This window comes from Homo sapiens, chromosome 13 (genome assembly GCF_000001405.40).
Source record: "Homo sapiens chromosome 13, GRCh38.p14 Primary Assembly".
In the NCBI taxonomy this organism is placed as follows: Eukaryota; Metazoa; Chordata; class Mammalia; order Primates; family Hominidae; genus Homo; species Homo sapiens.
In genome coordinates, this window is record NC_000013.11 from 110,933,184 (window position 1) to 110,945,455 (window position 12,272).

General features: G+C 45.8%; 1 pseudogene, besides 1 other annotated feature; it reads left to right on the forward strand.

Annotated features, from left to right (window-relative positions):
* PARP1P1 (poly(ADP-ribose) polymerase 1 pseudogene 1) lies at positions 3,441–7,049 on the forward strand (annotated as a pseudogene).
* Positions 9,149–9,398: an enhancer, noted in NCBI's record as "active region_8019". NCBI's record gives its function as "activates an Ori minimal core promoter by ATAC-STARR-seq in GM12878 lymphoblastoid cells {active_cell/tissue: GM12878}" and the evidence as "EXISTENCE:reporter gene assay evidence [ECO:0000049][PMID:35858748]".

Consider the following 12,272-nt stretch of genomic DNA (forward strand, 5'->3'; position numbering starts at 1 on the left):
AAAGTACCTCGAATAGGCTTGGGTCTGCAAACCACCAAAGAACAGACTACATGAGGCCCCTACTTTGATAGCCAGCACCTGCTTGTTGGGGCCCCTTAGTTGCCCTCACCCAAACCAAAGAAGTTTAGTCTAGAAAAAAAGTTTACTAGCCTCCAAAATAGCTTGCTTTATCTATTCTCATCAACTTGCCTACCTAGGTCATAGGTCAAATATTTAAAAAGCCCCTGAGCTAACTATAACTGCAACACATTGTGGACTGCAACAGAATGCAGTGAGGTGACCCTAAAAATATACCTAAAAGCCCCTATTCAATGACCAATAGGCAATGTCTGGGAAGATTGTGACCCCATAGTACTCATCTTATGAGGAATCAGGGGAGGGACCCGTGCACTAGGGGATAAATTGCTTATGGTAACCGTGTTGAGTGTGCCTGTCCACCAGGCCCCCGATCTTGCAAGACTGTCACTAAAAGTCTCGCTTCTGCTGCTCTCTGTGTCTCTGAGTCCCTTCTTTAGGTTTGAAGGGGTGAGTTTGTTTTTCACAACTTGGGGGCTCATCCGGGATATCTGTGCCTGCATGGAGTGGGACTCCAGCCTAGACGGGAGATGCGTCCCACCCACTTTAGGTGGCCCACTCTGTCTGGGCATAGCAGCTCCTGCAGAAGTCGTAGACAAACCCAAGACTGTTATTCAGGAGGCAGTGGAGACGACACAGGGTCAAAAGCAGGCACTGCAGAAACCAGGCAACCTTTTGCACTAGCCAAGGTCGGAAAATTGGACTGTAAGTATTGCCTGGGTGGTGGGGCATTTTTGGAGGTCAAGTGTGTGTGACTGAGATGTGTCTTAGATACAAGGCAAGTGTGGAGTCCCAATCTGTGGTTCTGTTCTCCCACAAGGGAAACAGCCAGAGATGGAGGAAGCCATTCTCAGCGTGTGCAAGAAAGCTCTTGTAGCAGGGGCTGCATACCAAGGGAAAGCACAGACAAAGAGACGAACTGAAAATTCTAGGCCTAGCGAACAAAGGAAACAGAGAACTAAGGAGACTCCCTCTGACATTCCCACGGATAGTCTGTTGGGGAGAATGCTGCAGGTTTGGAGGGACAACCCTCAAACCAGGGACAAGGAAAAGCAAAAGATGATAAAGATTGCTGTCTTATTGGGCCCAAATATCCCATTTGTAAGCCTTTGGTCTTTTGGCCTAAGTTTGGCTCGGATGAGGATTGGGTGTGCCAAACTTTAATTCCACATATGAATAATAAAACCTCATCCTCACAAGAAAAGATGGGTTATGCTCTCTTTTGGGTCAGGGAATTAGCCCCCATGTTCCTCCTCAAAGAAAAAGAAAAAGAGCATAGTAAAGAGCCCTCACCTGATAAAAAGCCCTGGGATGCCCTAACACACTTGCGTACCCCCCTCTTCCCCCACCATACATCTCACAAAATAAGGAACAGGGAGATCAGGGGACAGCAGGAAGGCTGGAGGAAGAGAAATCTGGGGGCCATGAGGAAACTAAACCCACTGCTCCCTTAAATCCTTATCTGAACTTAAGGAAAGAATTAAAGCAATGTAAGAAGAACATTAAGAATTTCCCTATTCACTCTAAACAGGAGATGTCCAACATGATTCCTCTTAAAGAAGGCCCTGTGGGACTGGGAGAAGTTGGATTTATGAGTGTGCCTTTAACAAGTACTGAGGTTAGGAATTTTAAAAAGGAAATGAGGCCACTTTTAGAAGATCCCCTTGGTTTAGCAGAACAGCTAAATCAATTTTTAGGACCCAATTTTTATACTTGGGCTAAGATAATGTTTATCATGAATATCCTGTTTACTGAAGAAAAGAGGGCAATAATTAGAAGGGCAGCCATGATCATTTGGGTGAGACAGCATCCTCCTGGGCAAGGAGTCCTACTGGCTGAGTGGAAATCCCCAAATGCGAATCCTGAATGGGATAACAATGACCCCAGGCATCAGGCCCAAATGCAAGGCCTTAGGGAACTAATCAGGGGGATTAAAGACTCCGTTCCTGGGACACAAAATGTCTTGAAAGCATTTGAGATTCAACAAGAAAAAGAGGAGACTGCCTCTGCATTTCTGCAGAGGCCCTGGGATCAAATGAAAAAATACTCAGGAAATAGATCCAGAGGACCCAGTAGGGCAAGGCGTTTTAAAGGTTAATTTTGTAACTAAAAGCTGGCCTGATATTACTAAGAAACTACAAAACATTGATGGATGGAATGAGAAACCGATTGAGGAATTACTGAGGGAAGCTCAGAAGGTCTTTGTAAGAAGAGAGGAAGAGAGGAAGAGAAGCAAAACAGAATTCAAAAATCATGTTTTCCACTGTAGAGGAAGTAATCAGAAAGAGATTAGATCAAGACCCCTCTCAGAGGGGACAAGATAATACTAGGTCTCAGCAAAGAGACTGGAGGCAAATACAAGGAAAAACTCCCAAGACTGTAAGTGGATGTTGCAAATGTGGGAAACCAGGACATTTTTTTTTTTTTATTTTGAGATGGAATCTTGCTCTGTTGCCCAGGCTGGAGTGCAGTGGAGCGAACTCTGCTCACTGCAAGCTCCGCCTCCTGGGTTCATGCCATTCTTCTGCCTTAGCCTCCCGAGTAGCTGGGACTACAGTCACCCGCCACCACGCCCGCCTAATTTTTTTGTATTTTTTAGTAGAGACGGGGTTTCACCGTGTTAGCCAGGATGGTCTCGATCTCCTGACCTCGTGATCCACCTGCCTCGGTCTCCCAAAGTGCTGGGATTACAGGCGTGAGCCACCGCACCCAGCTGAAACCAGGGCATTTTAAGAAAGAACGTCCGGAATGGAAAAAGGAAGAAAAGGTAATCCCCATTATGAGTTTTAATGAGGACTGGGAATCAGGGGTTCCTTCTAACCAGGTCCCACAAGGAACCCTTCATAAACTTGAGAGTGGGACCCGAAGGGGAAAAAATGACATTTTTGGTCGACACTGGAGTGGCTTGCTCTTCCTTAATATACCCACCAAGGGGCACATACCCTCTAAGGAAAAGTTAACAGTATCAGAGTAAAAGGGGAGGGATTTCAAGTTCCAATATTCAAGAAAATGTTAATTAGGCAGGAATCAGAACCAATTAAGGAGTCACTCTTACATGTTCCCAAAGCAGGAACTAACCTCCTGGGTTGAGACCTGATTGTAGATTAGATTTAGCTTTAGGATTAGGAGTAGAGGAGGGACAAATAAAACTAATGATGGTTCTCCTAACAGAGGAGGAAGAAGATAAGATTAACTCCCTTTTGTGGGTTAAGGAAGGCAACGGGAGGATTAAAAAATCACACCCTTACAGACCGAATGAAAACATCCAGGAGAAAGAGTTTACAGGAGACAATATCCCATACCCATGAAGGGAGGAAAGGTCTCCAACCGGTAATAGAAGGACAAATTAAAGACGAACTATTGAGCTGGGTACTCGGGAGCCTGCGGCCAGGTGAGTGTGGGCGGGGCGGCAAGGCGGAAGCTCCAGGCGCAGGCGGCGGAAGCGCGTGTCTCCAGGTCGTCGCGTCGGGCTCCTGGGATTTGGCGGCAACTGTGGGAGGATGGCAGAGTCCTCGGATAAGCTCTACTGAGTGGAGTACACCAAGAGCGGGCGCACCTCTTGCAAGAAATGCAGCGAGAGCATCCCCAAGGACTCGCTGCGGATGGCCATCATGGTGCAATAGTCCATGTTTGATGGAGAAGTCCCACACTGGTACCACTTCTCCTGCTTGCGGAAGGTGGGCCACTCCATGCGGCACCCTGACGTTGAGGTGGATGGATTCTCTGAGCTTTGGTGGGATGACCAGCAGAAAGTCAAGAAGACAGCTGACGCTGGAGGAGTGACGGGCAAAGGCCAGAATGGAATTGGTAGCAAGGCAGAGAAGACGCTGGGTGACTTTGCAGCAGAGTAGGCCAAGTCCAGCAGAAGCAAGTGCAAGAGGTGTTATGGAGAAGATAGAAAAGGGCCAGATGCGCCTATCCAAGAAGATGCTGGACCCTGAGAAGCCTCAGCTAGGCATGATTGACCCCTGGTACCACCCAGGCTGCTTTGTCAAGAACAGGGAGGAGCTGGGTTTCCAGCCTGAGTACAGTGCGAGTCAGCTCAAGGGCTTCAGCCTCCTCGCTGCAGAGGATAAAGAAACCCTGAAGAAGCAGCTCCCAGGAGTCAAGAGTGAAGGAAAGAGAGAAGGCGATGAGGTGGATGGAGTGGATGAAGTGGCCAAGAAGAAATCTAAAAAAGAAAAAGACGAGGATGGTAAGCTTGAAAAGGCCCTAAAGGCCCAGAACGACCTGATCTGGAACATCAAGGACGAGCTAATGAAAGTGTGCTCTATTAATGACCTGAAGGAGATGCTCATCTTCAACAGGCAGCAGGTGCCTTCCGGGGAGTCGGCGATCTTGGACCGAGTAGCTGACAGCATGACGTTCGGTGCCCTCCTTCCCTGTGAGGAATGCTCAGGTCAGCTGGTCTTCAAGAGCGACACTTATTACTGCACCGGGGACGTCACGGCCTGGACCAAGTGTATGGTCAAGACATGGACACCCAACCAGAAGGAATAGGTGATCCCACCGAGAAATCTCTTAACTCAAGAAATTTAAGGTTAAAAAGCAGGACCGTATATTCCCCCCAGAAACCAGTGACCCAGTGGCGGCCATGCCCCCACCCTCCACAGCCTCCGAGCCTGCTGCCATGAACGCCTCTGCTCCAGCAGATAAGCCGTTATCCAACATGAAGATCCTTACTCTTGGGAAGCTCTCCCGGAACAAGGATGAAGTGAAGGCCACGATTGAGAAACTCGGGGGAAAGTTGATGGGGACGGCCAACAAGGCTTCTCCGTGCATCAGCACTAAAGAGGAGGTGGAAAAGAAGAAGAAGAAGATGGAGGAAGTGAAAGAAGCCAACATCTGAGCTGTGTCTGAGGACTTCCTCCAGGACTTCTCTGCCTCCACCAAGGGGCTCCAGGAGTTGTTCTCAGCGCACATCTTGTCCCCCTGGGGGGCAGAAGTGAAGGCAGAGCCTGTTGAAGTCGTAGCCCCAAGAGGGAAGTCAGGAGCTGTGCTCTCCAAAAAAAGCAAGGGCCAGGTCAAGGAGGAAGGTATCAACAAATCTGAAAAGAGAATGAAATTAACTCTTAAAGGAGGAGCAGCTGTGGATCCTGACTCTGGTCTGGAACACTCTGCACATGTTCTGGAGAAAGGTGGGAAGGTCTTCAGTGCCACCCTCAGCCTGGTGGACGTCGTTAAAGGAACCAACTCCTATTACAAGCTGAAGTTGCTGAAGGATGACAAGGAAAGCAGGCATTGGATATTCAAGTCCTGGGACCGTGTGGGCACGGTGATCGGTAGCAACAAACTGGAACAGATGCTGTCCAAGGAGGACACCACTGAACACTTCATGAAATTATATGAAGAAAAACTAGGAATGCTTGGCACTCCAAAAATTCACAAAGTATCCCAAAAAGTTCTACCCCCTGGAGATTGACTACGGCCAGGACAAAGAGGCGGTGAAGAAGCCGACAGTAAATCCTGGCACCAAGTCCATGCTCCCCAAGCCAGTTCAGGACCTCATCAAGATGATCTTTGATGTGGAAAGTATGAGCAAAGCCATGGTGGGGTGTGAGATCGACCTTCAGATGCCCTTGGGGAAGCTGAGCAAAAGGCAAATCCAGGCCGCGTACTCCATCCTCAGGTCCAGCAGGTGGTGTCCCAGGGCAGCAGCGACTCTCAGATCCTGGATTTCTCAAATCGCTTTTACATCCTGATCCCCCACGACTTTGGGATGAAGGATCCTCTGCTCCTGAACAATGCAGACAGTGTGCAGGCCAAGGTAGAAATGCTGGACAACCTGCTGGACATTGAGGTAGCCTACGGTCTGCTCAGGGGAGGGTCTCACGATAGCAGGAAGGACTCCATCGATGTCAACTATGAGAAGCTCAAAACTGACATTAAGGTGGTTGACAGAGATTCTGAAGAAGCTGAGATCATCAGGAAGTATGTTAAGAACACTCATGCAACCAACCACACACGATGCATATGACTTGGAAGTCATTGATAGCTTTAAGATAGAGTGTGAAGAGGAGTGCCAGCACTACAAGCCCTTTAAGCAGCTTCATAACTGAAGGTTGCTGTGGCATGGGTCCAGGACCACCAACTTTGCTGGGATCCTGTCCCTGGGTCTTTGGATAGCCCTGCCTGAAGCACCTGTGATGGGCTACATGTTTGGTAAAGTGATCTATTTCGCTGATCTTGTCTCCAAGAGTGCCAACGACTGCCATACATCTTAGGAAGACCCAATAGGGTTAATCCTGTCGGAAGAAGTTGCCCTTGGAAACGTGTGTGAACTGAAGCATGCTTCACATATCAGCAAGTTACCCAAGGGCAAGCACAGTGTCAAAGGTTTGGGCAAAACTACTCCTGACCTTTCAGCTAGTATCCCACTGGATGGTGTAGAGGTTCCTCTTGGGACCAGGGTTTCATCTGGTGTGAATGACACCTGTCTACTGTATAATGAGTACATTGTCTATGATATTGCTCAGGTAAATCTGAAATATCTGCTGAAACTGAAATTCAATTTTAAGACCTCCTTGTGGTAATTGGGAGAGGTGGCTGAGTCACACACGGTGACTCTGGTATTAATTCACCCTAAGCGCTTCTGCACCAACTCACCTGGCTGGCTAAGTTGCTGGTGGGTAGTACCTGTACTAAACCTCCTCAGAAAGGATTTTGCAGAAATGCATTAAAAGCTTTTTCCCAAATTTTTTAGTCTCTTGTTTTGTGTTGTGTTTGTGGGGAGGGGTTGTTTTTGTTTTTTCTTGCCAGGTAGATAAAACTGACAAGCTGGAGAGAGATTCTGTTTGCATGGATTAGTCCTCTGGAAAAAACCAAGCTGTGCTACAATATCTGCCTTAGTGGTTTCCCCAGGGAAGAAAAAATATGTTTCCACCCTTTTTTTTTGTTTGTTTGTCTTTAGTTTTGATTTTGGAAAGATGTTAAGCATTTATTTTTAGTTAAAAATAAAAATTGATTTCATACTAAAAAAAAGATGGGTTATTGAAACCCTGTATGTCACCATACAATACTCCAGTTCTCCCAGTAAAGAAACCAGATGGGTCATACAGATTAGTGCAAAATCTAAGGTCTATACATAAAATTGTCCAAACTTGACATCTTGTGGTGCCTAACCCCTACACCCACCTTAATAAAATACTCTATAAACATAAGTGGTTCAGCATAGTGGATCTGAAAGATGCATTCTGGCCATGTCCCCTAGACTCTAAGAGTAGGGACCTCTTTGCCTTTGAATGAAAAACCTCATAACTGGGAGAAAGCAGAGGTATCACTGGACTGTGCTGCCACAAGTTTTCACGGAAGCCCCAAACTTACTTGGTCAAGTCTTAGAAAAAGTTCTGGAGGAATTCCAACCATCCAAAGAAACCCAGCTGTTACAATATGTGGATGATCTTCTAATTTCTGGGGAAAGGAGGGCCGAGGTATCAGAAGCCACCATAAGCTTACTTAATTTCCTAGGGGAAAAGGGGTTGCGAGTCTCCAAAACCAAATCGCAATTTGTAGGAGAAGTTAAATATTTAGGACACCTAATTAGTGAAGGAAAGCAGAGAATAAACGCAGAGAGAATATCGGGAATAGTGGGTCTGCCCTTGCCTAAGACAAAGAGAGAACTCCAAAACTTTTTAGGTTTAACTGGCTACTGTAGGTTATGGATGGACTCATATGTTCAAAGGACAAAGATTCTGTATTTTAAGTTACTAAAAAGGGAACCCAACCCCTTGCAAAGGTCCCCAGAAGAAATTAAGGCAGTGGAGGATTTAAAGCAAGCCCTCACACAGCCCCAGTCCTGGCCCTCCTATCTTTAAATAAAACGTTTCATCTGTCTGTAACAGACCAGGCCCTTGGGGTGCTCATTCAAACCTGGTGGGGTGGAGGGGGTGGGCGGGAAAGAGGCAACCTGTTGCTTTTATCTCCAAGCTTCTCAATTCTGTCTCAAGAGGGTTTATAATTGCTTATGGAAGTATTTTTAGAATTGTTGCTTTAAAATCATGTCAGATATCATCTCAGTGTTCACATCTGTATTGGTTCCCTAGGGCTGCCATAACAAAGCAACACAAACTGTGTGGCCTAAAACAACATAAATTTATTCTCTCACAGTTTTGGAGGCCAGAAGACAGATCAAGGTGTCAGCAGGGCTATACTCTCTCCAGAGGGTCTTCCATGGAAGATTGCATTCATTGCTTTTTCCTTCTGGTGACTGACAGCATTCCTGGACTTGGGGCTGCATAGGTCCAGTCTCTGCCTCCATCTTCATATGGCCTTCTCCTTTTCTCTGACTCAAATCTCCTTTTGCCTTCCTCTTATGGGGACATGTGTTGGCGAATTTGGAACCCAGGGTTATCAAATCTCAAAAGCCTCAACTTAATTACATCTATGAAGATCTTACTTCCTAGTAAGGCTGTATTTGTAGGTTCCAAAAGGTGGACATAGCTTATCTTTTTGTGGGCCACTGTTTCAACCCACTACAGCATCTGTTTATTGTCTTTTCTTATTCAAGTTGCAATCATCCTAGTTCCTGGTATATTCAGCAGTTTTGAAATCATGCCCCGAACATTTTCAGCATCATGTTGTAAGACTGTGGGTCCTCTTCAGTCTTTTTGGACAGGCACTTACCTGTTTATGCATTGCATGTAGGCATGGGTGGGGGTGGATGTTCAGTTCCCTGCTGGGCCCTGCCAGTATGGGAAGGAGGTGGGGCAGAATTTGGCTGTGACTGGCATTGCCACTAGCATTGCTCCCTCATTGCCACTGGGTGAGGATGAAAATTTGGCTGCCAAGGACCCAACATGTTGATTCAGCTGTTTTTTGATACTGTCACTTAGATTGGAAACATTTTTATGTGACCAAAATATTAAATTATTAAAGTTTTAGTTTTGAAAATTACTGTAATGAGAGATGTTATAAGATTTAGGGGTAGAACAGGAAAGGAAAAGGTCAAGCACACTTGTTCAACCTATAGCGAGATAATGAAAGAGAATTTGTATATTTTGTCTTTTATATGGCTTGGCTGTTTCCCCACCCAAATCTTATCTTGAATTTGTAGCTCTCATAATTCCTATGTGTTGTGGGAGGGACCTGGTGGGAGATAATTGAATCACGGGGGCAGTTTCCCCCACACTGCTCTCAGGGTAGTGAATAAGTCTCATGAGATTTGATGACTTCATAAGGGGTTTTCCCTTTCACTCATTCTCTCATTCTCTCTTGTCTGCAGCCAGGTAGGACATGCCTTTCACTTTCTGCCATGATTTGAGGCCTCCCCAGCCACATGGAGCTGTGAGTCCATTAAACCTCTTTTTCTCTATAAACTATCCACTCTCAGGTATGTCTTTATCAGCAGCATGAAAACGGACTAATACAGTCTTATCTGGGGTCAGTATGGTGTCAGAGCATTCCCTGGGGGAAAATTGATTCCATCAAAATATCCTGATTGGCAAACAATGATGCGGTCATGATTTTAAGAAATTTAGTGGGGAGATTGTGGCTTCTGGATTGGAAGGCCTGGGCTGGAATGTTGATCCCCACTGACCACTGGCCACATGATGGTGTGACGGTGAGTAAGTTGTTGGTTATCTCTGAGTCCTCAGTCTTCCTCATATAAAGTGGAGGTGATGTCTATCTAACAGCACTTTTGTGAGGATTCAGTGATGTAATGTGCATGGGAACAATTCATCAATCACAAAAAATGTTTCTTGGAAGTCAAGTATAAAGCCAAAAGACAAAGAAAATAATTCACATTGAAATAGTCACTTTTTGAAATATCCAGTTGTTGAGGGGAGAGCTGAGGAAAAACTAAAAATTAAAAAAAGAACAACAACAAAAATGAAGTCCAGATGTGGTGGCTCATGCCTGTAATCCCAGCACTTTGGGAGGCCAAGGTGGGTGGATCACCTGAGGTCAGGAGTTCGAGACCAGCCTGGCCAACATGGCAAAAACCTGTCTCTACTAAAAATACAGAAATTAGCTGGGCGTGGTGGCGGGTACCTGTATAGTCCCAGCTACTTGGGAGGCTGAGGCAGGAGAATCGCTTGAAGCTGGGAGGCAGAGGTTGCAGTGAGCCGAGATCACACCACTGCACTCCAGCCTGGGTGACAGAGCAAGACTCCGTCTCAAAAATAAATAAATAAATAACTAAATAAACAGTGAAATATCCATTTGTTGATCCATTTATTGATAAACAATTATGGAATGGTTTAGTAGAAATAGGATAGTGTTGGGCATCAGAAATATTTGCATCCTGCCCTGCTACCGACTTACTGGAAGGGCAAACAAAGGACTGAGGGATTCGAATCAGAGACTGTTTTTACTGGAATAGCCCTTCCAGGCCTTTCATGCAACCCCTTGTGTCCAGATGAGAAAACTGAGGCAGCGACTAGTGACTCACTAGTTACTGAGTAAGTCAGTAGCAGGACATCATGGAAAGAGGTGATGGGACATTTTTGTCTTTTCAGAAGAGAGCACAGCTGGAATTACAAATAAAATGGCATCATTTGATTCCATTTCTAACCGCCTTTGGAATGGTGTTTTGGAAAGAACACCAATCCATTGCTAAGACTGTCCCTAGGGAACAAAAGTTCTCTATCTAGAGATGTTCTAAGATACGATCATGAACTTCTCCTGCCTTTCTGGAGAAATGGGAAAAATCACACACTTTAATGTAAATAACACCCCCCAGCCTGATCATATCAATGTGTTGAACAGAGGTAGGTACAGCTTGTCTACAGCCAGAACCAGTTTGCATACAAAAACTTGCAACAAGCTGACAGTTGCTGAAAGAAAGGTTCTTGTTTCCCAGAGAATGTTGGTGAGTCGAGTCCTTTGCAGGTGAAATACTGATGACAGGGTTTATCTCTACAAGTCTTTGCCAGCTCCCCAACGACCTTCCATTCTCTCTTCACCATAACTTTTTCCCTTTTGATAAACTGGAATTTCAATGCATTGAAAATTTCTTGAAAGTGAGTCATTTCCTGGGAATTGGAAAGCGTTTTGTTTTTTGTTTTGTTTTGTTTTGTTTTCCTCTGTAGAGACTTTGGTTTCCTTCAGGGCTGACATTCAAAATACTGTTAACAACCTTTGAGTTTGGCCCCTGGTCGTGACTAGCCTGACTACACAGAGGCAGAATATGAGCCCTGGCTTTCTGTGACACTCAACCCAGACACTTTGGTAATGCTGTTCCCTCTCCACACCACAAAAGCGCAAAGAGCCCTTGCTGAGCACCAGGAGGCAGTGGTGTTCTCTGTGTGCACACATATTCTGCACCTGTGTATGTGTGTTTTGCAATGTGCTGCAGTAGGAAAGGGTGAGAGGGCAGACTTTCCTAGACTCTGTTCTTAGACATAATCCATCACGGGCTGTGATGGTGAATCTTATGTGTCAACTTGACTGGGCCACAGGGTGCCTGTGATATCCTGAGATATTCAGTCAAACATTCTCCTGGGTGTGTCTGTAAGGGTGTTTTGGGAGAGATTCGCATTTGAGTGTGTAGCTTGATTGTAGCAGACGGGGCTCCCTAGATGGGTGGTGGGTGTCCTCCAACTCTGAAAGCCTGAACAGGACAGAGGCTGGCTCTGCTCTGAATACACGGAACTCCTCCTGCCTGCCTGCAGCTGGGACATGGGCTGTTTCCTGCCTTAAGACTGGAACTGAAACATTAGCTCTTCCTGAGTCTCCAGCTTGTAGACTCTGCAGGTCTTGGGACTTGTCAGCCTCCATAATCACATGAGCCAATTCCATATTATAAATATCTCACACACACGCACATACACACACGCATATATTCACACACACAAATACACATGCACACACACACCACACATACACTCACGCACACACATCCACACACACGCACACACACATGCACACGCACACACACATGCACACGCACACATACACGCACATCCTATTAGTTTCCCTAGAGAACGCTGACAAATACGCAGGCTCTGAGGTTATGTTTCTTCAAAGCTTATGCTATCAGACAATAGCAAGCTTCGAATGCTGTTATTTTCCAGAGTTAATTAGGTTTTCATCTCTTTTTATTAAGGAAAAAAACCATGTTGCCTCTAACTTAATATTTAAATATGTTTATTTTGTTTGTCATCCTTAGAATAAGACAGTTTTCCTTTATACAGAATGTTCCATAATTCGGCGTCTGCCCCAAGGGTGGGAGTGAGTGGAGAGTGCAGGCTCTGCCG